The sequence below is a fragment of the Homo sapiens genome, chromosome 17 (assembly GCF_000001405.40).
Source record: "Homo sapiens chromosome 17, GRCh38.p14 Primary Assembly".
Classification (NCBI taxonomy): domain Eukaryota; kingdom Metazoa; phylum Chordata; class Mammalia; order Primates; family Hominidae; genus Homo; species Homo sapiens.
The window spans coordinates 48,026,167-48,052,166 of NC_000017.11; the positions used below are offsets into that span (position 1 = coordinate 48,026,167).

The 26,000-nt window shown below is 50.8% G+C and overlaps 2 protein-coding genes, 1 long non-coding RNA gene and 2 other non-coding genes across 17 annotated transcripts in view, besides 11 other annotated features; 2 read left to right on the forward strand and 3 right to left on the reverse strand.

The window, feature by feature from the left end:
* On the reverse strand, positions 1-21,887 carry COPZ2 (coat protein complex I subunit zeta 2). Of its 6 annotated transcripts, none has more exons than NM_016429.4 (9): positions 11,501-11,631; positions 10,685-10,759; positions 7,697-7,778; positions 7,045-7,136; positions 6,520-6,575; positions 5,990-6,067; positions 2,959-3,010; positions 2,306-2,344; positions 1-309 (listed from the first exon to the last, which is right to left on the reverse strand). In NM_016429.4, the coding sequence occupies exons 1-9, from the start codon at positions 11,609-11,611 to the stop codon at positions 262-264; spliced, it is 633 nt and encodes a 210-aa protein (NP_057513.1). In that variant the 5' UTR covers positions 11,612-11,631; the 3' UTR covers positions 1-261. The 6 variants fall into 6 exon arrangements, with proteins under 6 accessions (NP_057513.1, XP_011523176.1, XP_047292162.1 ...); XM_047436206.1 differs by lacking the exon at positions 1-309 and adding an exon at positions 1,510-1,623; XM_011524874.3 differs by lacking the exon at positions 5,990-6,067.
* Positions 62-620: an enhancer, noted in NCBI's record as "H3K27ac-H3K4me1 hESC enhancer chr17:46103594-46104152 (GRCh37/hg19 assembly coordinates)". NCBI's record gives its function as "activates a minimal SCP1, AML or CMV promoter by ChIP-STARR-seq in naive H9 embryonic stem cells {active_cell/tissue: H9 hESC(naive)}" and the evidence as "EXISTENCE:reporter gene assay evidence [ECO:0000049][PMID:30033119]".
* Positions 621-1,177: an enhancer, noted in NCBI's record as "H3K27ac-H3K4me1 hESC enhancer chr17:46104153-46104709 (GRCh37/hg19 assembly coordinates)". NCBI's record gives its function as "activates a minimal SCP1, AML or CMV promoter by ChIP-STARR-seq in naive H9 embryonic stem cells {active_cell/tissue: H9 hESC(naive)}" and the evidence as "EXISTENCE:reporter gene assay evidence [ECO:0000049][PMID:30033119]".
* Positions 1,561-1,827: a silencer, noted in NCBI's record as "fragment chr17:46105093-46105359 (GRCh37/hg19 assembly coordinates)". NCBI's record gives its function as "represses an EF-1alpha promoter that drives an FKBP-Casp9 reporter gene in an ReSE screen in phorbol 12-myristate 13-acetate-treated (for megakaryocytic differentiation) K562 erythroleukemia cells {active_cell/tissue: K562(+PMA)}" and the evidence as "EXISTENCE:reporter gene assay evidence [ECO:0000049][PMID:32094911]".
* On the forward strand, positions 6,716-6,785 carry MIR10226 (microRNA 10226). Its single transcript, NR_162100.1, has one exon. It is a non-coding gene; the product is annotated as a microRNA 10226 (primary transcript).
* On the reverse strand, positions 10,995-11,081 carry MIR152 (microRNA 152). Its single transcript, NR_029687.1, has one exon. It is a non-coding gene; the product is annotated as a microRNA 152 (primary transcript).
* Positions 12,748-12,797: an enhancer, noted in NCBI's record as "active region_12323". NCBI's record gives its function as "activates an Ori minimal core promoter by ATAC-STARR-seq in GM12878 lymphoblastoid cells {active_cell/tissue: GM12878}" and the evidence as "EXISTENCE:reporter gene assay evidence [ECO:0000049][PMID:35858748]".
* On the reverse strand, positions 20,715-21,887 carry NFE2L1-DT (NFE2L1 divergent transcript). The gene is made up of 2 exons (NR_170231.1): positions 21,459-21,887; positions 20,715-20,804 (listed from the first exon to the last, which is right to left on the reverse strand). It is a non-coding gene; the product is annotated as an NFE2L1 divergent transcript (long non-coding RNA).
* Positions 20,965-21,568: an enhancer, noted in NCBI's record as "H3K27ac hESC enhancer chr17:46124493-46125096 (GRCh37/hg19 assembly coordinates)". NCBI's record gives its function as "activates a minimal SCP1, AML or CMV promoter by ChIP-STARR-seq in naive H9 embryonic stem cells {active_cell/tissue: H9 hESC(naive)}" and the evidence as "EXISTENCE:reporter gene assay evidence [ECO:0000049][PMID:30033119]".
* Positions 20,965-21,602: a biological region, named in NCBI's record as "H3K27ac hESC enhancer GRCh37_chr17:46124493-46125096".
* Positions 21,413-21,602: an enhancer, noted in NCBI's record as "active region_12324". NCBI's record gives its function as "activates an Ori minimal core promoter by ATAC-STARR-seq in GM12878 lymphoblastoid cells {active_cell/tissue: GM12878}" and the evidence as "EXISTENCE:reporter gene assay evidence [ECO:0000049][PMID:35858748]".
* Positions 21,569-22,170: an enhancer, noted in NCBI's record as "H3K27ac hESC enhancer chr17:46125097-46125698 (GRCh37/hg19 assembly coordinates)". NCBI's record gives its function as "activates a minimal SCP1, AML or CMV promoter by ChIP-STARR-seq in naive H9 embryonic stem cells {active_cell/tissue: H9 hESC(naive)}" and the evidence as "EXISTENCE:reporter gene assay evidence [ECO:0000049][PMID:30033119]".
* Positions 21,673-21,912: an enhancer, noted in NCBI's record as "active region_12325". NCBI's record gives its function as "activates an Ori minimal core promoter by ATAC-STARR-seq in GM12878 lymphoblastoid cells {active_cell/tissue: GM12878}" and the evidence as "EXISTENCE:reporter gene assay evidence [ECO:0000049][PMID:35858748]".
* Positions 22,171-22,772: an enhancer, noted in NCBI's record as "H3K27ac hESC enhancer chr17:46125699-46126300 (GRCh37/hg19 assembly coordinates)". NCBI's record gives its function as "activates a minimal SCP1, AML or CMV promoter by ChIP-STARR-seq in primed H9 embryonic stem cells {active_cell/tissue: H9 hESC(primed)}" and the evidence as "EXISTENCE:reporter gene assay evidence [ECO:0000049][PMID:30033119]".
* Positions 22,193-26,000, forward strand: part of NFE2L1 (NFE2 like bZIP transcription factor 1) — a 13,187-nt gene continuing 9,379 nt past the window's right edge. For 4 of the 8 annotated variants that reach the window (NM_003204.3, NM_001330262.2, NM_001330261.2 and 1 more), the window contains exons 1-2: positions 22,193-22,296; positions 24,441-25,462. In NM_003204.3, coding sequence (NP_003195.1) covers positions 24,953-25,462 — 510 coding nt within the window. In that variant the 5' untranslated portion in view covers positions 22,193-22,296; positions 24,441-24,952. Of the gene's footprint in view, positions 22,297-22,614; positions 22,699-24,440; positions 25,463-26,000 lie in introns of those variants that run through there. The other 4 variants (NM_001439152.1, NM_001439154.1, NM_001439153.1 and 1 more) reach the window with 1 other exon arrangement.
* Positions 22,323-22,602: a silencer, noted in NCBI's record as "silent region_8648". NCBI's record gives its function as "represses an Ori minimal core promoter by ATAC-STARR-seq in GM12878 lymphoblastoid cells {active_cell/tissue: GM12878}" and the evidence as "EXISTENCE:reporter gene assay evidence [ECO:0000049][PMID:35858748]".

Here is a 26,000-nt window from a genome sequence, read left to right on the forward strand (position 1 = left end):
TTGGCAGAAGACAAAAGCAGGTTTATTAGGGCCCTGGGGCCAGGAATGCCTAAGATATGAGTTAAGGCCAGGGCCGTGAGAAAAGGTGACTCTCCTGAGGCCAAACCTTTGCATCTCAGAAGCCCTGGCTGGAGACCTTAGGAGTCAGTTCTGGGAGGGACCTGGGGATACAGAGGGGTCTCTCCTGACCCTGGGATCTTTGGGCTTTTGCCAGGATTGGGGAAATGATCTGGGGGGCAGGGAGCCTTGAATCCACAGCCTTCATTTCAATAACGACCATTTAATTTGTTCCTTGGCAGACTGAAGAACCTGGGGTGGGGTGGGGGAGGTTGAGAGAGAATTGAGAATGTCAAATGCCTCCATACACAGTCATGGGGAGGTCCACAGCCCACCTTGCCGAAGCGCCCCTGCAACCACCGGTCACTAGGTGGCAGCAGCTTGTCTCCACTTGGCTTAAACGCGGCCAACCCTCCAAGTCAGAAAGCGCAGACCAAACCGGCTGCAGCCAGCTCCCACCTCAGGCCCAAGCCTGCCCAGACCTCTGGCTCCTGCATCTGCAGCGTGGGTGTGGCAGCAGCCTGTCTCCCCGCTGTCATGCCATGAGAGTTCCCGCCCACAGTGCCACGTCCAGGCGGAGACGGGGCCCAGGCCTGACACTCCCTGTGCTCAGACGCCTCAGCAAACCCCTAGCTCTGGCCATGGCTGGCAATGTGTCCTCAACACCCCACCGCAACCCACTGCTGATGTGGCATAGCTGGCAAAGGGTGGCCAGCCAGACCCTGCGGTGGGATGCCTGGTGGAAAGTCTCAGCCCAGTGCTTACACAAATCCATATAAGTGCACACGTGCATGCACAATACCAAAGCAGGAGAGGGGGACAGGACTCAGGTGTGTCCCTCAGATTGTCCCTCCAGCCACTCAGCCTTATTCCCCTCTAGAGAAGGAGGGAACGCTGTGTCTCCTCCTCCTGCACAGTCTCCCTCCTCTCTTGGGGACAGTGGCTTAGGGTTCCCCTGATTCTCCTAGCCAGAATCTAACTTTGTCCTCATTTTATCCCCCATTGGCTACCTGTAGCTTCCTTTGTTTTTACTCAAGAATTCCATCAAAAATGCTATGTTTTCATTCTTTCTCCCTTTGGAGAAATACTGATGGTTATTCAGCATGTGTTAACTGGCTTGGAGCCCTACTAAGAGCTTGTCACGCATTGGCTCATTGAATTCTCATAACTCCATGAAGAGGGTCCTGTTATTATGTGAGGCCCAGAGAGGTTGAGTAACTTGCCCTAGGTCACCCAGCTTTAGGTGGTAAGGTAGAACACGTACCCTGGGATGACTCCCATGAGCACCTGTGTTCTTATCTGCTCTGCTTATTACTCCCTACCCTCTTTCCACTCTAAAAATTGCCTTGCAGCTGCATTCATTCCAGCATGGTATGAGGAAACATGGGGAATCAGAGGGGAGGGCGAAGCAGAGTGAGCGCTAAGGGCAGTGCAGGAAAATGGGCGCCACACCTGGGACTCCACACGAGACAGCACAGGCTCATCTCGGTAGGGCCACCACAGCACGAGGAGTTAGCGCCAGGGCGGGAAGTTCCATACAAGCAGGATTAGTCTGAGCAGAGAGACCTGCAGGTGGACAGAAGAGAGGTCAAGACAGTCGTCCTGAACTAGCAGGAAGTTTGTGCAGCTGGGGAACTGATCAGGCTTCAGAGCCAGGAACCTCCCCCTGGCCTTACGCTCTGCAAGCACCTCCAGATAAGACCATGCAGGGTTGTGGCAGGTTCTTCCATAGCCAGGTCACTCAGGGGTAAGGTGACAAGTGATGAGTGGGGAAAGTCAGATCCTATCATGGGTTTGAGAGTCCCTTAACAATCCCAGTGTGCACCCTAAGTGGCAAGGACAGGGGTTAAGAGCCAAACTCCTATTTGGTACCCTTTCCAGGTTTCGGTAGAGGGCGCATCAGAGGCCTGAGTTCCCAGATTTTTGGGGTGCACAAGTGACCCAGCCATCTCCAAGGTAGGCAGCTCATCCTAGTTTCAATCCAACTAAACCAAGCCAGGAGATGAGGTGGGCTGATGGTAACATGCCCATCCATCCATTAGTACCCAGCTCCCCTGAGTTGGAGAGCCCGGAGGCCTCCAGTGAGTCTTTCCAAGATATGACCTGTCACTGCCTCATCCCTTCCCTTCTCACCCCTGATTTTTCAGACTTGATAACTTCACTGGGTCCCCCTAGGATGCTCTAGGATGCTCTGCTCCCCGTATCTCTCTAGACCATTTCTAGCCAAGGCAGATGCAGGGGGGCCTACCTGGGCCACACTCTGTTCAGTCAAGCCGCCATCATCTGCCTGTAAGGAAGCAGAGTCAAGGGGTGGGGTAGGGCCAGCATGAGGGTCCTGGGTCAGGGAGGTGAAGGAAAGGGGCTTGGGGGTATGGGTGAGGTGGTGCAGTGGTTAGGGTGATTCAGAGCTGCACCTGTGTCACTGGTTAATAGAAGTCCTGCAGCCTGTCATTTGGAAGCCAGGACCTCTGGGATTGTGCTATGGTGCGTGGAGGGTGAGGGAAGATGGGAAGAAAGATGGGAAGAAAGGTTTCATCCAGACATGAGAAAGCCAAACAAGGCAGGGAGGTTCTATCCATACCCCTGACCCCCAACCTCAAGGCCAAGGCAGCCACCTAGTGCCTCTTTGAAGATGTATTTATTTCCCCAGTCTATACTTCCTACCAGGAAAGAGGTGAGGTACTTGTGCTCCTAGCCGGGGAGAGGACAGGAAGATTTCTTCCATTAACTGGCATCCCACCCAGAAACTGCTGCTCATCTCACCCCTAACAAGTGTGTCAGCCCAGTGGTTGGCTTCTGCTAGAGGAGCTTGGGCTTCTACCATCTAGGCCCTAGCAGCCCTATTCCCAGGGAGGACAGGAAGGGCAGCCTAAAAGAGGAGGTGTCCAGGAAGACTCTTACCCTAAAATTCACCTTCTGGATCACTTGCTGGGGGTCACTCTCCAGAATCACACTACAAGATGAGAGGAAAAACCAGGAGGCAAATCAGTGGCACAATCCTCCCCTCCGCCCCTTCTCCTTGCCAAGCCTCTTCCCTCTCCGAAGGCATCCTGCAACATCTCCACCTTCCAGGTCCCTTCCCACTGATAGCCCTCAAGTCAGAACTCTCCCTCAGCATGGAGAGCCCTCAGCTCTGATTCTTTGATGCTTCAACCCAGTGGTCCACATGCTTTGTCATCCCTGGGCAAAATCTTTGAAACTGGATAAGAACAGTCTGGTCTAGGATGATCAGGTTGTCAAAAGCAGGGACTCTCAAAACTCAGAGCTCTTGAAAGTTCACTTCACTTTCTGGGTATAGGATTGGATTCCCTGTGAAAAGAGTTAGGAAGAGAGGCCCTGGGGGTTCTTATCTTGTTGCACTGTTATTTTATGGCATGGGGTCATGCCCTGCATAAAAGAAATGAAACTCCAAAAATCAGCATCTACCTTCTCCCCTACTTCCTCCCTTTTTTTTTTTTTTTAAGGCTGGGCACGGTGGCTCATGCCTGTAATCCCAGCACTTTGGGAGGCCGAGGCGGGTGGATCACCTGAGGTCAGGAGTTCCAGACCAGCCTGGCCAACATGGCGAAACCCTGTCTCTAGTAAAAGTACAAAAATCAGCCAGGCATGGTGGCACACATTGTAATTCCAGCTAATTGGGAGGGTGAGGCAGGAGAATCGCTTCAACCCGGGAGGCAGAGGTTGCAGTGAGCCAAGATTGCGCCACTGCACTCCAGCCTGGGCATCACAGTGAGACTCTGTCTAAAAAAAAAAAATTTTTTTTTTAAATCTTCCCTTTTAGGCCAGGCACAGTGGCTCACGCCTGCAATCCTAGCACTTTGGGAGGCTAAGGTGGGAGGATCACAAGGTGAAGAGTTCGAGACCAGCCTGGCCAATATGGTGAAACCCCGTCTTTACTGAAAATACAAAAAAAATTAGCCGGTAATGGTGGCGCACGCCTATAATCCCAGCTACTCGGGAGGCTGAGGCAGGAGAATTGCTTGAACCCAGGAGGCAGAGGTTGCAGTGAGCCAAGATCACGCCACTGCACTCCAGCCTGGGCGACAGAGTGAGACTCCATCTCAAAACACACACACACACACACACACACACACACACACACACACAAAGAAACAAACAAAAAAATTCCCTTTTGATAGACCCAAATATTGTAGCTTTTCTCAGAGAGCAGGCGCTCCTTCGTGAGGCCTTGGGGTTATGTACAGGGTACATGGGCGTGAGGGCCTGTCACTGCGGCAGGACAAAGATGACAGGATCTGAGTGTACCTCCTTACCCACTGAGACTCCTCCAAGGCAGAAGCTTTGTTTCTCTTTGTTACTAAATCACTGGAAATGACAAACATTTCTTGGGAGCCTCTTCCAGTCCCCATCCTTGGGCTGAGCACCCCCTGTCCCAAGCTCCCTAACCAGGGGTCCTGTAATCCATAAAGAAAGAGCATCCCAGGCCAAGGCTCCAGTTTAGGCGTTGCCTCCCGACTGGCGCTTCCCCAGTTTTTCTTGGCAGGAAACTGAGTTCCTCAGAGGCAGAGACGGGAAGCTTGTGAAGCTTACACCTCAGGCATCCTCCTTTGCACAGCCATCCAGAGCCCTGCATCTTGTTTTGCATTTATAGTTTTGTGTGTGTTTGTGTAAAGTTTTCCTTCAAGAGGGTTCACCAAATTGTATATGCTTCTGGCTCCCCAAAACCTGGCGTTACCCCACTCCCTTTTGGGTCCCAGAAATCTGCAGGAGGCATTCCTTAGTGCCCCAGGCAGTCCAGTACAGTGCCATAGAAACAGCATGGCCTCTGGAACTATTCACATGGTTTTAGATCTTGGCCCTGCCACTCCCTAGCTGTGTGAGAGACCTCCGGCGTGTCACTTGAAACTTTGAGCCTGTTTCCTAATGTATAAAATGATGTAATGATAGAGGGATGTATGTTTTTAAGGAGCTCAAGAAATTTCTATTGGCCGGGGATGGTGGCTCACACCTGTAATCCCAGCACTTTGGGAGGCTGAGGTGGGCGGATCACGAGGTCAGGAGATCGAGACCATCCTGGCTAACATGGTGAAACCCCGTCTCTACTAAAAATACAAAAAATTAGCTTGGTGTGGTGGTGGGTGCCTGTAGTCCCAGCTACTCAGGAGGCTGAAGCAGGAGAATGGTGTGAACCCGGGAGGTGGAGCTTGCAGTGAGCCGAGATCACGCCACTTACTGCACACCAGCCTGGGTGACAGAGCGAGACTCTGTCTCAAAAAAAAAAAAAAAAGAAATTTTTATTATCCTTTGCCCCAGAGCCAGAACTTCTTTTTCTCTCTGAATATTGATCCCCTGATGGAAATTCACAAGCCAACTTTTCTCAAAAGAGCTCCTAGCTTCCTAAGAATATACTAGCATACCAATAGGAGGCAACATCTATTGAATGAGAACCACAAGCTTCACATGTATCTTCTCACACATGTATTTAATCCCCACAATCCCTTATTACCTCCATCCTAAAGATGGAGAAAGTAAGCCTCGGGGAGGGTCAGTAATTGACCCAGGTCACGCATCTAGCTTGTGTTGGAATTGAGCCCTAAGAGCAGGACATGTGGGGCTGGTGGGACTGTCTGAAGTCCTTCCAGAGAGGGCCAGCATCTGTGCCAGTGCTTCCCCTGGGCATTGGAGACCAAACTGGATTTTCCCCAAACCCTGCCTATTCAACAGTCTCCCATAGTTTGACATCAGGTTAGTCTCTTGTTTGGCTTGACTTTGGCTAACATTGAAATCAACTTCTATCTTCATGAGTGGGGCGCTAGTAAGGGGAAGGGCTAGGGGAATGGGATCCCTGGGAATATGCTGGGGGAAGGGAGTGAGAAGTTGGTCAGAGTTCTAGCCATGCTGGGTGCCATCTGGGGCTGATGATTATCAAAGGCACTCCTGCTGTGAGTGTCCCTGACTGTCCCCTCCTCACCCGCCATCCACAATCTCGTCCAGCACCAAGAAGGCTCCGTCCATGTTCTCCAGCAACCAGCGCTTCTCCACGTTCTTCCTGAAGGTGGACACAAGCTCCTGAGCCTCCCTGTGGCTGGGAGGAACTGAGTCCCTGCCTAGGTGAGGCTGACCCCACTCTCCAAAGACTGCCTCATTCACCCCTCACCAAACAAGGACTGGGAAGGAGAATGTGAAGGGCAGTGAGCACAGAGCCCATGCAAGGCATTTCTGAGCAAAGGGCAGTTCTGCTTCCTTACACCCTACCTTGTCCAACCTCCCATACTTTGGGCCTTGACACCCTGGCACCCACCACAGGACCCCAGATGCGTTTCACAACTAGGTTAGATGCTATAGCACAGCCCTACTTTCGTTCATTGTGTCGACTGTGAACTTTTCTTTTTGGATTATCTTAGTCTTGTGGGGACTTCAGGAGAAAAACAGGGAGGAAGGGTCCTGTGACATATCAGGGCCAGGGGGATGGGGCCTCGGAGGGCAGAGAACCTCACTCACCTTAACATGTGGTTCAGAGACTCAAACAGGCAGGTGAGAACAGACATGAGCATCAGCTGGGATGGGCAGATACGGGAGGAGGAAAAGGAGAGTTTGAGATTGAGAAGGTCAAAAGAAGCACTTGGAGCCCACCTGTGCGGGCAGCAATGGAGAGTTTCAGAGGCCTGGGCTGGAGACTGACTGCGGTGTGACATTAGAGGGAACTTCCATGTGTCTGGGCTGGGAAACTGGAGTTCTCCACTGGGAGACATTGAGTGTATCCTTCTCTAGTTATGTTTAAGAAGGACAAAGCCTCCCTTGAAGATGAAGTGATTACTTCATTCCTGGTTCCCAAGGAAACTAAGGGGCATCGAAGATACACATTGTCCCAGAAAGAACCCTTCTGGCTGCCCTCCTCTACCCCATGGAGCCTAAAAGAAGGGGTCCAATGGTGAGCCTCCAGGTCCCAGCCTCAAGCCCAGATTCCAAATAACAACATTTCCCCATAGACAGACCCTTCTTACTGCCCCAACCTCCTGAATTCACCTCATTCTCGTAGGATGAGCCCACCACGTATAGGAAGAGGTCAATGCTGTTCTTGTAGACGATGGTCATACCCCCAAAAAATGCAATCTCACCTAGAAGTGGAGGGAGCTTTCAGTCCTGGCCACCTTGCCTGGTCCTAGCCTAGCCCCTCCTCCTCATGTATGACTCTGTGACTCTCCTATTTCCTTCTCCCCTTTCTGGAGAACCCTTGGAAAGACCAGCACTAGGGACACTACCATCAGGCAGCCCCGTGTCCTTCCCCTTATCTGCTACTCTATTTCTAGGGACTGCCTCAGGCCAAGGAGTCAACAAGCCCAGTTGTTGACCCGTTTACCTCCTGCCCACGCTCCCACCCTGTGCAGCACCTTGGGACCAGATCCAGGTTGGGACCACAACACAGTTGGCCTCCTCAGCTAGAGAGAGGCCTGGGGATGCTGGGGGGTTGGGTAGTTGGGGGAACTGGAGAGTGACAGGGAGTGGAGGTTCCCTGGAGGAAGGGAGTGGAGAACAGCAGGGAAGGAGAGGACAAAAAGCCTCTGAAGAAAGGGAAATGGCCTGTGGGTGTGCAAGGCTGATGGGGACAGATGTGTCCAGATGGAGAAGATGACAGTGTGCATCTGATAGTCTGCTGGAGGAAGAGGGGGACACTTACTCTCAGTCCGGCTGGTCTTGTTGAAGACATTTTTCTCGAAAACCATCTGCTCCTTCATGGAGGGGAATGTGTCATCATAATACTATGAGAAAGGGAAGGAGAAAGGACCATAGCTTTCCACACAGCCTGGATCCTCCCTAGATTGGGGGGCAGGAAAGAGTAGGCGCTGGGCAAGCGGGATCCTGCTTCCCTGCCCCATCTCTCCATTACTGCACCCTAGGCCTGCAGGCTCATTACTTCCTCCAAAACAAATTATTCTTTTTTAGATGGAGTTTTGCTCTTACTGCACAGGCTGGAGTGCAGTGGCACGATCTCGGCTCACCACAACCTCCACCTCCCGGGTTCAAGCAATTCTCCTGCCTCAGCCTCCTGAGTAGCTGGGATTACAGGCATGCGCCACCACGCCCAGCTAATTTTGTATTTTTAGTAGACAGGGTTTCTCCATGTTGGTCAGGCTGGTCTCGAACTCCCGACCTCAGGTGATCTGCCCACCTTGGCCTCCCAAAGTGCTGGGATTACAGGCATGAGCCACTGTGCTTGGCCCCCTCCAAAACAAATTCTGAGCAAAGAAAGTCCCAAAAAGTAGAGGGATATTGAGGCCTGCTTTTGGAGTCCCCTCCTGGTTTCTTGGAGGATCTTGTACATTCAGCAGATGTGCAGGGTGCTAAGGATTGGCATGGTCACGAGGGCACACTAATTCTACAGCACCCTGAGTCTCTACAGGAAAGACGGCAAAACCAGGAGTCCTTCTTAAACAATAATAATGATAATAACAACAGCTACTTTATTATCCCCATTACACGGATGGGGAAACCGAGGCATCAAGAAGTCAGGTAATGGCCTGGCATGGTGGCTCATGCCTGTAATCTCAGCACTTTGGGAGGCCGAGGCGGGTGGATCACCTGAGGTCAGGCGTTCCAGACCAGCTTTGCCAACATGGTGAAACCCCATCTCTACTAATTATACAAAATAAATTAGCTGGGCATGGTGGCGGGTGCCTGTAATCCCAGCTACTTGGGAGGGTGAGGCAGGAGAATCGCTTGAACCCGGGAGGCGGAGGTTGCAGTGAGCTGAGATCGCGCCACTGAACTTCAGCGTGGGCAGCAGAGGGAGACTCCGTCTCAAAAAAAAAAGAAGTCAGGTAACTTCCCCAACATCTCACAGTTGTGAGGCCAAAGCTGGGTTTGACCACTAAGGACGGTCTGACTGCAGACAGGGTTATAGTGAAGATTAAATATCTAAGAAACAATTCCTCACACATATCCCATAACTAAATTAATGTTTTTTGTTTGGGAATGGTGAGCCTCTCTCTCTGACTCAGTTTCTTAATCTGTAGGGAGGAAAAGCCTTTGGCCTTGCTGATCCACCTCTGACCATCTGCTGGGGCAAGGTGTGGTCAGCTCAGTTTTCAATTTTCTGGATGTGGATTTTGCCACTTAATACTCAATCCGCAGGCAGATTAGCCATCTCCCTAGTGGCCGCTGCTTATTTGAATTTCATAAAAACAAAAAACTTTCAGTTCCAAATAAACAAACAGAAAATCTATTTTTTGGGATGGGGTCTCACTCTATAACCCAGATTGGAGTGCAGTAGCTCGATCATGGCTCACTGCAGCCTCAACCTCTCGGGCTCAGGCAATCCTCCCACTTCAGCCTCCCGAGTAGGTGGGACTACAGGCACACACCACCACGCCCGGCTAATTTTCGTTTTTTTGTTTTTTGTTTTTGTTTTGTTTTGTTTTTTGTAGAGATGGGGTGTGCCATGTTGCCCAGGCTGGTCTGGCACTCCTGGGCTCAAGCAGTCCACCCGCCTCGGCCTCCCAAAGTACTGGGATTACAGGCATCAGCCACTGCGCCTGGCCTTACAACACATTTCTTTTCTTTTTCTTTTCTTTTTTTTTTTTTTTTTGAGACAGAGTTTCGCTCTTGTTGCCCAGGCTGGAGTGCAATGGTGTGATCTCGGCTCACTGCAACCTCTGCCTCCCAGGTTCAAGCAATTCTCCTGCCTCAGCCTCTCGAGTAGCTGGGATTACAGGCGCCCACCACCATGCCTGGCTAATTCTTTGTATTTTTAGTAGAGACAGGGTTTCACCATGTTGTCCAGGCTGGTTTCGAACTCCTGACCTCAAGTGATCTGCCCGCCTTGGCCTCCCAAAGTGCTGGGATTACAGGCATGAGCCATCACACCTGGCCTTATAATGCATTTCATAGCTAATGCAGATGCTATAGCTCCCCTACAATTAATTGTGTTGACAGCAGAAATTTATTTTTGGATTATTTTAGTTTGGTTCGCTCAGGCCATGTTTGCTAGGATAGATAACAGCTAATTGAATGGGGGTACAGTGAAAACCACCTTGAGCTTCATGTCAAAAAACCCGAGTTTGCCTGTGAAACCTGTGAAATGGGAGAAGTGAAAAAATTAAATAAGTAAATAAATAAAATTTGAGTTTGGATCTGTTAGGATATTAATACTTGTGACCTCAGGCAACTCACTTAGCTTCTCTACCCCTCATTTTCTTCATCTACGAAATTAAAGAGTTGGATTATACAGTTTCTAAAATCCCATCTGGTTCTAAATCCTTAGACTCCTTAGACTAAATCGTTAGTGTTTACCAAGCTGTAGAACAAAAGTGGAGGTTTAGAGACAAACCCCAAAGAACAAAAGAACTTGTGTGGGGGTTTGGGGACTAAGACTCCTGGGTCCCAGGCTCAACACTCCACTGACCCATTAGGCAGAACCTTCCCATGCCCAGGTCCAACTGGCCAGTAGCAGGATGATAAGGAAACATTTCAGGGAACATGAGTAGAAATAGAGGAGACCCCTCATTTCAGGGAGCAGCACCTTGACAAGGCAGGAGGATGAGAAGGACCTCTGGAGGGGTCTAAGCTGAGCTGCCCTGAGTCACAGAGATCACAGTGGAGTTTCTCCTGAGACAGGAGTGTCAGCTGAGTGGGAACTGTGTCCCTCATGGGTGGGGTCAGAGGTTACCTTGGCCAGCAGCCGGCGCCCGTCATTATCTAGGATGAAAACAGCCTTGATGGTGTAGAGGGAAGGTTCCTGCAACTGACACCGGAGAGGAGAGTTCCGTTTGGCCCCTGACTCGAGGTGGACACCCTGTGTCTATGGGATCTGCTGGCCCTAGGATACATCCTCAGGCCCCAGCAACCCCAGTCCTCAAGGTCCACAGCTGGTTCTGCCCAGCCCTGTGCCACATGGGCCAACCCAGGTGCCCACTCCACTCCCAGGCAGATGTTCCACTGCAGGCCCCGAGTGGGCGCTGTGCCCGTTGGGTGCAGAAGGTCCTTCCGGGCCCAAGTTCTGTCATGCACTGACTGCTCCAGAGCCCGAGTCGGAGTGTATCACAGAACCTGGGCCGGGGGGGACAGCGGGCCGAGCCTCCTTCTTCCAGCTGATCCCTGGCCGGGCTGGACCTGCGCTATCAGCGCGCCCCCAGGCCCTGGCCCGGGTAGACTCCAGAAGCATGCCCATCACCCACCGGTGATGGGAGCCGAGTCTGGGACGGACAGGCCACTCCTTACCCTCCCCGCGGAATCGCAACTCACCCGCCACCCCCACTCCAAACGGACCCAGAACTTCAGCCCCGCGCCGACGGACTCAGGACAGGCCTCCTCTCCGGTCGGCGCTGGGACGAACTTTTCCTCCCGGGTCCTGGGGCCAGTCAGGGGTGACACAAAGTTCCCAGCCGCCGGGCGCGCGAGTTCTGAGTTGGCTGCTCCCCCTAACCCTGCTCTGTCCCTGCCCAGCTCCCGCCGCCCGGGATCCCCGCGCCCGCCCGCTCCGTACCCGCAGCCCCGAGGGCTCCCCGGCTCGAGCAGGCGGCGCCGGGCCCCCGGCCTGGGCCGCCGCGGCCCCCTCCCCCGGGTGCGGACGTGGCCAGGCCTCGGGCCGCTGCATTCCGCTCGCCGCCTCGCACTGACAGCGCCGCCCGCCGCCTGCCCGCCGCCGCCGCCCCGCCTCCGCGCCGCCCCGCGGCCCCCTCTCGCGCGTGGCCTCCCTTTCCTCGGGGCCCCGTCCTCTTGCTCGTTCTCCCCCATCTCCCCTCCCGCCCTCACCCCACCTCTCCTTCCCCCACTTCTCCTCTCCCTCTCTCCTCCTTGGCTCCTTCCCGAGTCCCTTACATCCCCGAACTCTGCATCCTCAGGGTGCCCCAAGACCAGCCCTCGTCCTGCTTCCTGCCTGCTCTCCGGCCTGTGGCTTTGGTGTGCGCCAGTGTCTATAGGCTGTCCTGGGGCCAGCAGCAAACACAAGCAAAGCCCACTTTTGTCTGTTGACCTCTGGTAGGTACCATGAGGACAAATACGTCAGGTCACCCTTTAGATCTCAGGGACAGGGTCTATAAGCAAGAGCAAATGAGGACAGTTCTGGGGACACCCCTCTGTGAAGAGGCTTTCTCATTCCTCTCTCACTACTTGCAGAAGGCAACCATGGGCCCGGAGACACCTCCCCAGGCTCTCCTAAGTCACAGATATGGCACCATCAGAAGCAAGACAGACGCCCAGCAGCACAAATGCTCCACCAATGACATCGGGCTTTGCAGCATGTTTTGGTTTCTTTGGTCTAAGTCTAACTAAGACAAGCTCTCATTTCAGGGTACACTGGCAAGTGGGAAATTCACATCCCAGTGATATGTTAGTGCTACGTATGCATTTACCGGTAAAAACACTGTGCGTGTATTTTACATTTGACACCTTCACATCCATTATCTAATATAGCCCACACCTGTAAGATAGGCATAATGGACCCTCATTTTAAGCAAAGAGAGACTCAGAGGTTGTGTGACCTTTTCAAGACTATACAGCTAGTTGACTGGGGATAGAACCCAGATTTTTGACTCAAAATTTCTTCCCTATTCTTCTCTTCAAGCCCTCTTATGTTGTGGACCACAGTCACTTACCCTAGATGGTTACAGAATGGGGTTTTCCTCACTGAATGCATCAAGTCTTCTTATCTTCAAGCCTCTGCTGAAATATAATTACCAAAAGGTCCTCCTGACAGCCACCATATCTGACTTGATAGGTCTCTCCTGTCACATTCTCTCAGTTCCTATTTCTTTCTTTCATTGCACTTTTTTCAATCTCTAAATATTATTTTTACTAATATTGCTTGTTTGAGACACGGTCTCACTCTGTTGCCCAGGCTGGAGTGCAGTGACTCGATCTGGGCTCACTGCAGCCTCAACCTCCTGGGCTCAGGCAATCCTCCCATCTCAGTCTCCCGAGTAGCTGGGACCACTGGTGCATGCAACCACTCCCAGGTAATTTTTTATTTTTTTATTTTTTTTATTTTTGTAGAAACAAGGTCTCAAGTCTGGGCTCAATGGCTCACATCTGTAATCCCAGCACTTTGGGAGGCTGAGGTGGGCAGAAGGCTTGAGCCCAGGAGTTCCAGACCAGCCTGGGCAACATGGTAAGATCTAGTCTCTACTAAAACTACAAAGAAATTAGCCAGGTAGGGTGGTGTGACCTGTAGTCCCAGCTACTCAGAAGGCTGAGGTGGGAGAATCACCCGAGTCTGGGGGTTCAAGGCTGCAGAGCCATGATCATGCCACTGTGCTCCAGCCTGGGCAATGGGAGTGAGAATCTGTTTCAAAAAAAAAAAAAAGAAGAAGAAGAAGAAGAGAAAAAGAAAGGAAGAGGAGGAGGAGGGGGAGGAGGGTGATCATGATCAAGGTCTCACTATGTTGCCCAGGCTGGTCTTGAACGCCTAGGCTCAAGTGATCCTCCCACCTCAGCCTCCCAAAGTGTTGGGATACAGGCGTGAACCACCATTCCCAGCCTTTACTAGTTTGTTTATAAGTGTTCCTTCTCCCCGCCCAGACTTTGAGCCCTGCAAGAACCAATGAATGTGACTTTTTGTTTGTTTGTTTTTTTGTTTTGAGACAGGGTCTTGCTCTATCACCCAGGCTGGAGTACAGTGGTGTGATCATAGTTCACCGCAGCCTCAAATTCCCAGTGTCGGCCGGGCACGGTGGCTCACGCCTGTAATTCCAGCTCTTTGGAAGGCCGAGACAGGCGGATCACGAGGTCAGGAGTTTGAGACCAGCCTGGCCAACATGGTGAAACCCCATCTCTACTAAAAATACAAAAAAATTAGCCGGGGGTGGTGGCAGGTGCCTGTAATCCCAGCTACTCGGGAGGCTGAGGCAGGAGAATCACTTGAACCTGGGAGGTGGAGGTTGCAGTGACCCGAGACCGCACTACAGCACTCCAGCCTGGCCAAGAGAGCGAGAACCTGCTACCCACCCACCCACCCACACACACACACACACACAAACAACTCCCAGGATCAAGCCATTCTCCTGTCTCAGTCTCCTGAGTAGGTGGGACGATACACACGTGCCACCATGCCTGGTTATTTATTATTATTTTTTTTAAAGGCAGGGTCTTGCTGTGTTGTCCAGGCAGGTCTTGAACTCCTGGGATCAAGCCCTCCTCCTGCCTCGGCCTCCCAAAGCCCTGAGATTACAGGTGTGACCCACCTCACCTGGCCAATTATGTTTGTCTTGTTCACTGTGGAATCCCTAGTGTTTCTTACAAGGCTTGGTGACAGATTTTTTTTTTTTTTTTTTGAGACGGAGTCTTGCTCCGTCACCAGGCTGGAGTGCAGTGGCGAGATCTCGGCTCACTGCAACCTCCGCCTCACGGGTTCCAGTGATTCTCCTGCCTCAGCCTCCCGAGTAGTTGGGACTACAGGTGCACACCACCACGCCCAGCTAATTTTTGTATTTTTAGTAGAGACAGGGTTTCACCATGTTGGCCAGGATGGTCTCGATCTCTTGACCTTGTGATCTGCTTGCCTCGGCCTCCCAAAGTGCTGGGATTACAGGCATGAGCCACTGCACCTGGCCGATGACAGATATTTAATAAGCATTTGTGAAGTAAATGAATAAAGGAATTCAGGATGAGGGAGATCATGTATAAATATTCACAAATACCAAATTTTAACTAATAATAATTAAAATGTACCTATCAATGATACCATATTGGCTGGGTGTGGTGGCTCATACCTGTAATCCCAGCACTTTGAGAGGCCAAGGCGGGCAGATCACTTGAGACCAGGAGTTCGAGACCAGCCTGGCCAACATGGTGAAACCCTGATTCTACTAAAAACACACAAAAATCAGCCAGGCATGGTGGCGAGTGCCTGTAGTCCCAGCTACTTGGGAGGTGAAGGCAGGAGAATCATTTGCACCCAGGAGGCAGAGGCTGTAGTGAGCCAAGATCACACCACTGCAGCCTCAGCAACAGAGCAAGACTCTATCTCCAAAAAAAAAAAAAAAAAAAAGACAACATATTTTATGTGCTGTACAAATATTTATTGAGTGCTTAGTATGTACCAGATATTTTTCTAGCCACTGGGACACAATAGTAGACAAAAGAAAAATTTTGCTCTCATGGAACTTACAATCAAGTGTTTGTGTATGTACATGCGTGCGTTTCTGTGCAAGATATAATACACAAATAAATGGGAAAAGTAGATATTATATGAGTTGGGGATAAGTGCTGCAAAGAAAAATAGAGCAGAAATGGGATGTGGAATGTGAGGGGTAAGGGACAGGCAAGCCAGAAAGCCATTTTCATAGTCCTCTGAGAAAACCTTTAACAAGGTGACATTTGAACAAAGAGCTAAAGGAAAGGAGGAAGCAGGCCATGCAGACATCTGAGGAAGCATCTACTGACCCTCCCTATATGATGACTTAGAAGGCACATCTGAACCTTTCTTGCAGGCTATCAGTTATAATAGGGAACATAATGACACTATTTGATAACAGCAGCCAGGGAAAAGACCCAGCATTTGGGCATTTTATTTCTTCGGATTCCAGATCATCAGAAGTTATGTCAATGGTCATGCTGGCTGGGTATGTTATTTCTAAAAAATACTGATTTGGTTATTTTGATGTCTTAATATTTCTGTGAGCTAGTCCATTTTTTTTTTTTTTTTGGCTCATATTTACAAGGACAGCACCAAAAAGCCTCCAGGAGCATTTCTCAGCCTCTGTTTGGCTATGGTACCCACTATGAAAGACCAGCAGCCTCCAGAAGGGACAGAGGAAGACCTGGGAAGATAGGGGACTTAGGGGGCTGGCTCCATAGGGGAGGTGGGGAAGGAGTCAGTTATACACGTTAGGGATGGGAAGGCACTGGAGAGGGGCCAAGGGGATAGGAATGAGAGAAGGCTGGGGAAGGAAGCTTAGGAACCACAAAGTTCTCATCACCCCCACATCTATCACTGTTGTTGCTTTTTCTTTTTCTTTTTTTCTTTTTTTTGAGAAGGAGTTTCACTCTTGTTGCCCAGGCTGGAGTGCAATGGGGTGATATTGGCTCACTGCAATCTCCGCCTCCCAGGTTCAGGCGATTCTCCTGTCTCAGTCTCCTGAGTAGCTGGGATTACAGGTATGCGCCACCACACCCAGCTAATTTTTTTTATTTTTAGTAGAGACAGGGTTTCACTATGTTGTTTGGCTGGTCTTGAACTCCTGACCTCAGGTGATCCGCCTGCCTTGGCCTCCCAAAGTGCTGGGATTACAGGCGTGAACCACCGCGCCTGGCCTTGTTGTTCCTCTTCTTAAAATCTCTTTACATCTTTTCTTTTTTTTGAAATGGAGTCTCACTCTGTCGCCCAGGCTGGAGTGCAGTAGCACGATCTCGGCTCACTGCAACCTCTGCCTCCCGGGTTCAAGCAATTCTCCTGCCTCAGCCTCCCAAGTAGCAGGGATTACAGGTGCGTGCCACCATGCCCGGCTAATTTTTGTATTTTTAGTAGAGACGGGGTTTCACCATGTTAGCCAGGTTGTTCTCCAACTCCTGACCTTAAGTGATCTGCCCACCTTGGCCTCCCAAAGTGCTGGGATTATAGGCGTAAGCCACCGTGCCTGGCCCATAAAATCTCTTTACATCTTAGTTTAGTGGTGAATAAGTAAATTCAGAGCCAAGTTCAACTTTTCAAGGACAAGATTCTCCCCAATGATAACCCCTCCCCAAACTCCTTCAACAGAGACCCCAGAACTTCTTTCTCTCCATGACAACCGCTTCCCCACACATCCTGAAGTGCACCTTTAATGCAGTTTCACATAAACATGTGAGCTATGTGTGTCCAGTATTGGGACAGTGTCTTCCACAGAGCATGGCCCTAAGAGGACTTTCCAGTTTAAGGCTGGCAGCACATGAGAAGCATGCACGTGCAGCAGCAGACTCGGCAGGAGAGCCTCCCCAGCTCGAGGAAGCCAAGTTGGGTTCAAAAAGAATGCAGCCTTCATGTTTCTCTGCCCTCTACTCCCTTCGGGTAGGCACAGTAGGATGGAGAGGTGGGCTGTGCACATCCCTACCCAGCTGGAACCTGTGAAGTAGTGCACTCAGAATTGGTCCCTGCCCTTTGGAGTCCCAGGAGGCAGGTGATTCAAAGCAGGTTCTCCTCTGGGCCTTGGTATAGCTTGAAGGGGAGACCATTTCATTTCCTCTGAGTCACCCTCCTGCTGCCACATTTCTGTGCTGTCTGTCCTAGGATTTCAGCATCTGTTCTTATGTGACGAGAAGAAACAGCTCCCTTGGGTACCAGCCTCTCTCTATCCCTCCTGCTTAATGTCAAGAGGGGGAGGTGTGTGTGGAATATGAGGCGTGGAAGTGTGTACTGGTGGCATCCTCTAGAGAAAACTAAAGCTTCCATGCTCTGTCTGTAGGATGGGTTTCTAGTAGACCATTCTAAGGACAGCTCTCATTTCTTCATCGCCTTTGGCTTTCTCTGAGATAAAGTTGTAGGGTGGGTGGAGAGAGGATTATTCAAGACAGGGCCTTATACTCAGCTCTTCCTCCAGGCATGAATGGCTTTATACACATGACCTGATTTTTAAGATTTATGAATATGTACATTGTTATCTCCATTTAGCTCGGGATGGCCCAACTAGTAAGAAACAGAGCCAGATTTTCGAACCCACCTATGAGTCCAAAACATCCACTCCTCCTACCTCTTAATGGCAGCTCCTTGAGTGTGACATGTCACACAGAGCTATATGAAGAACACTACCTGGTATTGTTTGAGACAACATAGCAAGACATACAGGACAGTTGAACTCAGCTTCAAAAAATGTTACACTAAGACACTAATGAACAATGAGGCATTTTCATTGTAGAGGTGAAGAAAGAACATTTTAGGGTTGAGAATGAGCACACCCTAAAAGTCAAACGGGCCGGGTGCAGTGGCTCACGCCTGTAATCCCAGCACTTTGGGAGGCTGAGGTGGGCAGATCACTTGAGGTCAGGAGTTTGAGACCAGCCTGGCCAACATGGCAAAACCCTGTCTCTACTAAAAATACAAAAATTAGCCAAGCGTGGTGGTGTGCACCTTTAATACCAGCCACTCAGGAGGCTGAAGCAGGAGAATCGCTTGAACTGGGGAGGCAGAGGTTGCAGTGAGCTGAGATGGTGTCACTGCACTCCAGCCTGGACCACAGAGCGACTCCATCTCAAAAAAAAAAGTCAGATAATCATTCTAGTCTGTGTTCCCGTATTACCACAATCTTTTGCTTTTTTTTTTTTTTTTTTTTTTTTACCCCAATGTGGATTCTTGCTCCAACCTAGTGATTCTCTACTCTGGCTGTGCATAAGAATCACCTGAAGAGCTTTTACAAAATACTGATGTCCAATTCTGCTCTGGGCAGCTGTTTTAATTGGTGTGGGGTGGGACCTGGGCATTGGTATTTCTTACGAGCTACCCACCTGGGTGATTCTAATATGCAGCCAGGATTGAGAAGCAATCTTCTAAGAGTGTGGTAGTGGTGCATAGGAAAGAGGCTGGCTTGCAGGAGAGCTTTACTTTTTGGTGGTTTAATGGTAACAAGCTTGCTGATGATGTTTACCATATAAGAGAGAGGGCCATATGTCCGGATTTGCCAGAAAACTAATTGATTTCTTTGCAAAACATGCTAACATTTAGTATTGACATGATGTATTCCTACCATCTCTCAGGACTGTAAGGAAATCTCAGGCAATCATCTATCTAATCTATTCCCCTGGATTAGATGAGGTTACAGAGTAAGAAATACTTATATGGATTAGCAAAACTTAAAGACATGTTTTTCTTTTTATTATTTTTTTTGAGACAGGGTCTTACTCTGTTGCCCAGACTGGAGTGCAATGGCGCAATCACAGCTTACTGCACCCTCAACCTCCCCAGGATCGGGTGATCTTTCCACCTCAGCCTCCCCACTAGCTAGGACTACAGGCATGAACCACCACGCCTGGCTAATTTTTGTATTTTTTTTGTAGAGATGGGTTTTCACTATGTTGGCCAGGCTGGTCTCAAACTCCTGGCTCAAGTGATCTGCCCACCTGGGCCTCTCGAAGTGCTGGGGTTACAGGTGTGAGCCACTGTGCCTGGCCTTAGAGACATTTTTAGAGGAAAGATAATGGACAACCAGAATGGCAGAAAGCCTGGGTTTCCCTTTTAGGGAAAAAGCAATTTCACTGTTCCAGAAGAAATCAGAGCCCCAGCCAGCCTGCCCTCCCACAGCCCCTTCTCTGAGGATTCCTGGCATGTGTCATCCTCCAGGGATGACTGCAGGATGGATGTGGCTGTTGGCGGCAGCAGCAGCTTTTCCTACCAGGGAAGCTGGGTCGGTAGACACTACACTGCTATTCCTGGGGTGGGGGTGGGGATTTCCGTGTATGTTTTATAGTTAGCTGGCCCCAAATCCGTGTGCTTTAGACCTAACCCTCTTCTCGGCTTCCACTGCCTTCTTCTCTCTCCTGCCCAGCCTGGAGTCGCAGGGGCAAGGCCTAGTTTTACAATGGCTGCCAGCCTTTCCCTTAGGGAGCCACATGCATGCGCTCACTTTTTCCAGTGGTCTTCTCAGTCTGATTTAATGGATATACCGGGACTGATGACACATCAGCATGGGATCCTTCTTTTGCTTCTTGGGTAACTGTCCTATTAACAGCTGTCCCAGGCAAAGGGAGGGGGAGAGTGTTGGGGGAAAGGAGGGGGTGGCTTCCTGGGTGAAGAAGGACACACCCTGGGTTTTACAAGGTTAATCAGCAGGTTCTGGGAAAGCTTGCACCTGCTCAGACTTGATCTGGAACTCTAGACAGAATGGAAGACAGTCTTTCTGTCTCCACTCCCTTCCATGGAGCATCAAATATCCTGGGCGCCCACACCCTGCCAGGCCTAGGCCTGCTGTTGCGACTGAGTTTGTCTCTACACCTTTACTCTCTTCGGCCCTTGCAACTCTTTCCCTTTTTCTGCCCACCTTTGTGAAATGGCTAAGCAGGAAACTCCACAGATAAACGATTGTCCAGTTTTAGTTTGAACTGTTAGGACTGAAAATTGTTCTGTATTTTTCTGTCAAAAAAAGACCAACTTTAGTATGCTCTTTTCACCTTCTCAAAATTGTCTTGTAGTTAAACACTGTAGTTGAGCCTTTATATCTCTCAATTTTATGTTTTGTTTTGTTGAGGAAGCATCTCACTGTTGCCCAGACTGGCACCATCATAGCTCACTGCAGCCTCAATCTCCCAGCTCAAGAAATCCTCCCACCTCAGCCTCCTGAGTAGTTGGGACTATAGATGTGTGGCACCAAGCCCAGCTTGTTTTTTTGTAGCGACGGGGGTCTCACTATGCTGCCCAGGCTGGTCAAGCAATCCTCCCGCCTCGGCCTCCCAAGGTGCTACTGTGAGCCACTGCGCCGGGCCCAGTTCTATGTTTAAAATACTTCCTTCTCAACCTTATTTATTTTTAGAGTTGATGGCCACACCTAAATATTCCTCCTTTCTTATACAATACCAGTCTTTATCTTCATTGTCTCACTACTTCGGGGACTGAATGGTCTCCTATTTTATTGTTAACATGCCATATCCTTCAAAACTGTACATCCTCCAAGGTGTGGTTAATTTCTGCTTTTAACAGGAAAATCAGAGGCCTGCCTGCTTGAGTCCCCCTTCAAGTACTCAGTATTTGAGTGTCTACTAAGTTATAACAGTTAACGCACAAAATTCTAGTCCTCATGTTGTTTATACTCAGGTATTTATTGGGAGACACGCGTCAGTAGTCCCTGATAAATGGAAAGATCGCTTGAGTCCAGGAGTTCCAGTCCAGCCTAGAATAGGTAAAACATGCTCTCTGAATTAGTCTTTGAAACTGGTAAACTAGCTCAGAAGTTTTTTTAAGAATTCCATGAGTGGTTTGCTGGTGTACGTTTATTATATGCAGTGAAAGTACTTAATCTGCAAACCACCCCAAATTAAGCCCCTAACTCGCAAGCACAAAATGGACTCGATTATTTACTGAGTTATCAGTTGGCCTTGTCCTTAGTTGTACAGGGACTAATGACTCACCTATAAATAATGGGCTCTTCTAAGAAGACACAGTTGAGTTGACACCTCTTTGTCCTATAGCTGGGAGGAACGCATTGCAAACGCCAACCCAATGATTCCCTAAATGGGGTCTTCGCATCAGCTGCGTTAAAATCACCCCAGCAGGCAGGTTATCCGGCCGCCACTCCAGGGTCATTAAATCAGACTCTCCAGTGGGACCTCGGAATTCGTAGCTTAGCAAGCTCCCCAAGTGATGCTGGGAGTAAACTAACGTTTGAGAGTCACAAACATGTTTTGGCAATATAACCAGATGGGACTGGAGAAATTAAAAAATGAGAAACATCCCTAAAAAAGCAAGACTAAGCTGCGTGGGAGGCCAAACGAGGGGGGTCCTTTGGGCTGTTTCTACCATGACAAAAATCGCCATTACCCCACACCTCTCACACCGCCAACGTTCCGCCAACGTTCCGCCAACGTCCCACCACCCTCATGATATCCGTCCGCGGTACTGCTCCAGCGAAGGTACCCTTGCCTGGGCCATGAGGCGCAACCGTCCCTCACAGCTGGGGTGGCTTCTCCAGGTTCGCACCGAGGGGAAGTTGGGGTACCGGTTTCCGCCGCCAGCACCCAAGATGGCGGCACGAGCGTCGCAACCACAAGAACCACATGCTTCGTGTCCCGCCTCAGCATTCTCGGGTCTCACTAGACTTTTGCAAGTCACTGTGGGAACCCTCAAGGCGAGGGTGTTCCGCACTCTGGCGGCGATACACCTTCCTATTCCCTGACCTAGGCCTTCATTCCCCCGCCACAGAAAGCGCTGGAAGCGCCCAACCTGGATACTTCACCCAACGCCCAAGCCCACTAACATCGCCCGCCGCGAAGGCGCGGCCGAGGGGCCCAGAATGCCAGACACTAGGGCCTTCGCCCTCCTCATTGGTGGGTCCATACCGCGGGGCGGGCCTAGGTACTCATTGGGCCGGGAATTATGTCAGTCTTGGGAAATCAGGTCCGGGGATGAGGAGGTACACTCAGCCATTGGGCCCTCTCTGCTGCCAATCAGAGGGACATCCGTCGACGGCCCCGGCCTCGGCTCGTTGATTGGAGAAACTGTTCCTAGGGTGTTTGCGGCGGGCGGGTTTCCGAGTGCGGTAGCAGGAGGGGGCGGGGAGGTAAGCGGAGGCTCCGAGCTCTAGGCCGGCCGGCGGTGGCGGCGGCGAGGCCGGGACTCGGGCTTAGGGCCTGCTGTGGAGGCAGCGGCGGACGCCGAGCTAAGCAGTGGGTATCGGGCACATTCCTTTCCCAGAAGGGAGGGTTGCAGCGCCGCGGGGCCGAGGCTTATGGGGCGACGGGATGGTGCTGAGGTGCAGGAGGCGGGGGCCGAGCGGGGTTCCCGCCAGAGCCCGGCCCTGGGCCTGACAGGGAGGGGCCCCGCGCGGGGCCGAGAGGAAAGCTGGCTCCGGGGTGGGATGGACTGGGCAGGGTTGAGGGCACGAGAAGGCGTGGTGTGAGGCCTGGACTTGGGAGTGGGGTGGGGCCATCGGGACGGAGGGCGGGGTGGGGTTTGCTGTAAGGGTGGGTCAAGGCCAGGGAAGTAGCACTTGTTCGCTGGCCGCCCCTGGAGGCTAGAAGCTCCGGCGCCGAGAGTGGGCATGGCGACTTGGTCTCAGCCGGACTCGGGTATCCGGGCAGGGTGGGACCAGCCTCAGGCTATGGGCCCTGCACCTACTTGATTTTTAAGGGACTTTGTCCGGTTCCTCGAACTTAATTGGCTCCTGGGAGGTTTTAGTAATAAATTGCGTGAGAACGGGAGGGTAGCGTAAGCAGGAATTCTGGGTCGCAATTGTGTTTACTCTGACCAGAGAGAGGGAGTGTGAGTGTGTGTGTGTGCGCACGTTCGTGTGTGTACGTATAGCTCGCTCTCCCCCTGTAGAATGAAGTTGGTAGATGGGTCACAACGCAGGAGAGGAGAGGCGGTATGTCTTGGTTTGTGACATTAATGGAAGCTCAAAAGTGGAGACCAGAAACAGATTTACTTCCTCTGCACTGGGCAGTCTGGCTAGAGAACGTGGCCATATCCTTCTGCTTTGGCTCAGAAGGTCATATGAATGAAAATAAAACCTGCCTATGCAAATTCTGGACGGAATAGTCCTGCGTAGTAGGGCCCCCACCATCCCTCTCCTTTTTTTCTTTCCTTTTCTTTTCTTTCTTTTTTTTCTTTTTTTGAGACGGAGTTTTGCTCTTGTTGCCCAGGCTGGAGTGCAGTGGCGCGATATCGGCCCACCACAACCTCCGTTTCCTGGGTTCAAGCGATTCTCCTGTCTCAGCCTCCCGAGTAGCTGGGATTACAGGCATGCGCCACCACGCCCGGCTAATTTTTGTATTTTTAGTTGAGATGGGGTTTCTCCATGTTGTTCAGGCTGGTCTCAAACTCCCGACCTCGGGTGATCCGCCCTCCTCGGCCTCCCGAAGTGCTGGGATTACAGGCGTCGGCCCTTTTCCTTTTTTTTCTTTTGTAAGTTGTGAGGATAGGAAAGGGAAATCAGATTTCAAAGTTCAGAAAACAAAAGGCATTCTTCTTCTGGGTGAAGTGGTGGCCTGAACATTGTCCTTTTGTCCTTCCACACTCTCACTGTTTAATAATCTTGCCTTTTTGAACTGAGAAAAGACAACTGTTATGGGTGGTTTTCTCCCGAGGGGTGAAAATCCAGCTTTACTTTTAAGACAGGAAATGGGCTTCTCATGTGAAAATAGAAGCTGGGTAATGCGCCTGTAGTGGGGGAGGAGGGCTGGTAAATAAAACAAAGGTGTAAGATATTTTGGATGACCTGGTTATTGTCTGCTTATTCAAACCAAGCTACATTTTAGGATATTGCACATTTAATATTCAGTAACTGAGATCATTCGTGATCAGTAGCTTTCTTTGATAGTTCTTCTATGATCGGTTGCTATATTTTGGGTTTTTTTTCTGAGAGTGTAAGTAGTCCTTTCTTCCTGTAAAAGTGGCCTTTAGGCCAGGCACAGTGGCTCACGCCTGTGATCCCAGCACTTTGGGGGGCCGAGGCGGGCAGATCACCTGAGGTCAGGAGCTTGAGACCAGCCTGGCCAACATAGTGAAACCCCATCTCTACTAAAAATACAAAAATTAGCAGGGCGTGGTGGCAGGCGCCTGTAATCCCAGATACTTGGGAGGCTGAGGCAGGAGAATCGCTTGAATGCAGAAGGTGGAGGTTGCAGTGAGCACAGATCACGCCACTGCACTCTAGCCTGGGCGACAGAGTGAGACTCTGTCTCAAAAAAAAAAAAAGTGAAAGTGTCCTTTGAATGTGTTTTCTACCTTCTACTGTGAAGGTTTTCCTACCCTGATCATGATGTGAAAAGTATGGAATCTTATCCTGTTGCTTTTGTGATTCCCATTTCAGGTTTCTCTGGAAACCCCCCTGGTAAGTGTGGAGGAGGCGGGACACTCTGACCCAAGACGAAAGGCCTGTAGCTCCAGCCAAAGAAAATAAACCTTAGGAGGGAGAAGGAAAAAAAAAATCCATCAGCTGTTCCTGAGAACAGCCTGCATTGGAATCTACAGAGAGGACAACTAATGTGAGTGAGGAAGTGACTGTATGTGGACTGTGGAGAAAGTAAGTCACGTGGGCCCTTGAGGACCTGGACTGGGTTAGGAACAGTTGTACTTTCAGAGGTGAGGTGTCGAGAAGGGAAAGTGAATGTGGTCTGGAGTGTGTCCTTGGCCTTGGCTCCACAGGGTGTGCTTTCCTCTGGGGCCGTCAGGGAGCTCATCCCTTGTGTTCTGCCAGGGTGGGGTACGGGGTTTGACACTGAGGAGGGTAACCTGCTGGCTGGAGCGGCAGAGCAGTGGCCTTGATTTGTCTTTTGGAAGATTTTAAAAACCAAAAAGCATAAACATTCTGGTCCTTCAGCAATGCTTTCTCTGAAGAAATACTTAACGGAAGGACTTCTCCAGTTCACCATTCTGCTGAGTTTGATTGGGGTACGGGTGGACGTGGATACTTACCTGACCTCACAGCTTCCCCCACTCCGGGAGATCATCCTGGGGCCCAGTTCTGCCTATACTCAGACCCAGTTCCACAACCTGAGGAATACCTTGGATGGCTATGGTATCCACCCCAAGAGCATAGACCTGGACAATTACTTCACTGCCCGGCGGCTCCTCAGTCAGGTGAGGGCCCTGGACAGGTTCCAGGTGCCAACCACTGAGGTAAATGCCTGGCTGGTTCACCGAGACCCAGAGGGGTCTGTCTCTGGCAGTCAGCCCAACTCAGGCCTCGCCCTCGAGAGTTCCAGTGGCCTCCAAGATGTGACAGGCCCAGACAACGGGGTGCGAGAAAGCGAAACGGAGCAGGGATTCGGTGAAGATTTGGAGGATTTGGGGGCTGTAGCCCCCCCAGTCAGTGGAGACTTAACCAAAGAGGTTAGTGGACCTGTGGTGGGTGTGTGGGGCCTGGGGCTTGGGGGTGGGCTGGTCCCAAAGGATTGTGGTCAGAACACTGAGCCCTGTAAAGAGCCAGACAGGTTTCAGCAGGGCCTCAGGCACTGTTCTTGGGTAGGGATGGGCTGAACTTTCTGACTTTAGGATTGGGGGCTGGGAGCATTTCCCTGTGTTGAACCATTGACCTACCTCTAAATGTACTGTCAGGGCAGTGGGAGGTTCCTACACATGCCAGGGTGTTTACTGCTTGGATTTCAGCGTGACTGCTGGAGGCCTGGGGTGGGGGAGGAGTCATGTTGTGATGGGCTTTGATGCAGTGTACATCTGTTGCTAAGACACAAATACTTTTTGGACTCTTGTTTTGTACCTCCCCCCACATCAGAACACAGACATACCCTGAAGTTCTCCTTTGTGGCGAGGCCTGTTGTTGTATTGTCCTGATAATTCAGACCTCCTGGGCCTGAGCCAAAGGGTAGATTTGGATAGTTATTCTTGGCCAGGAGAGGGCCAAGGCTTCCAA

Excerpts from the sequence above, each read along its gene's own strand:
- COPZ2 (XM_047436206.1), bottom strand. The coding sequence starts at position 11,611 with ATGCAGCGGCCCGAGGCCTGGCCACGTCCGCACCCGGGGGAGGGGGCC. Across the intron at positions 10,760-11,500 it reads GGGAGCCCTCGGGGCTGCGG|TTGCAGGAACCTTCCCTCTA; the intron begins GTACGGAGCGGG and ends CTCCGGTGTCAG. Across the intron at positions 1,624-2,305 it reads CTGAACAGAGTGTGGCCCAG|GTCTCTCTGCTCAGACTAAT; the intron begins GTAGGCCCCCCT and ends GTCCACCTGCAG.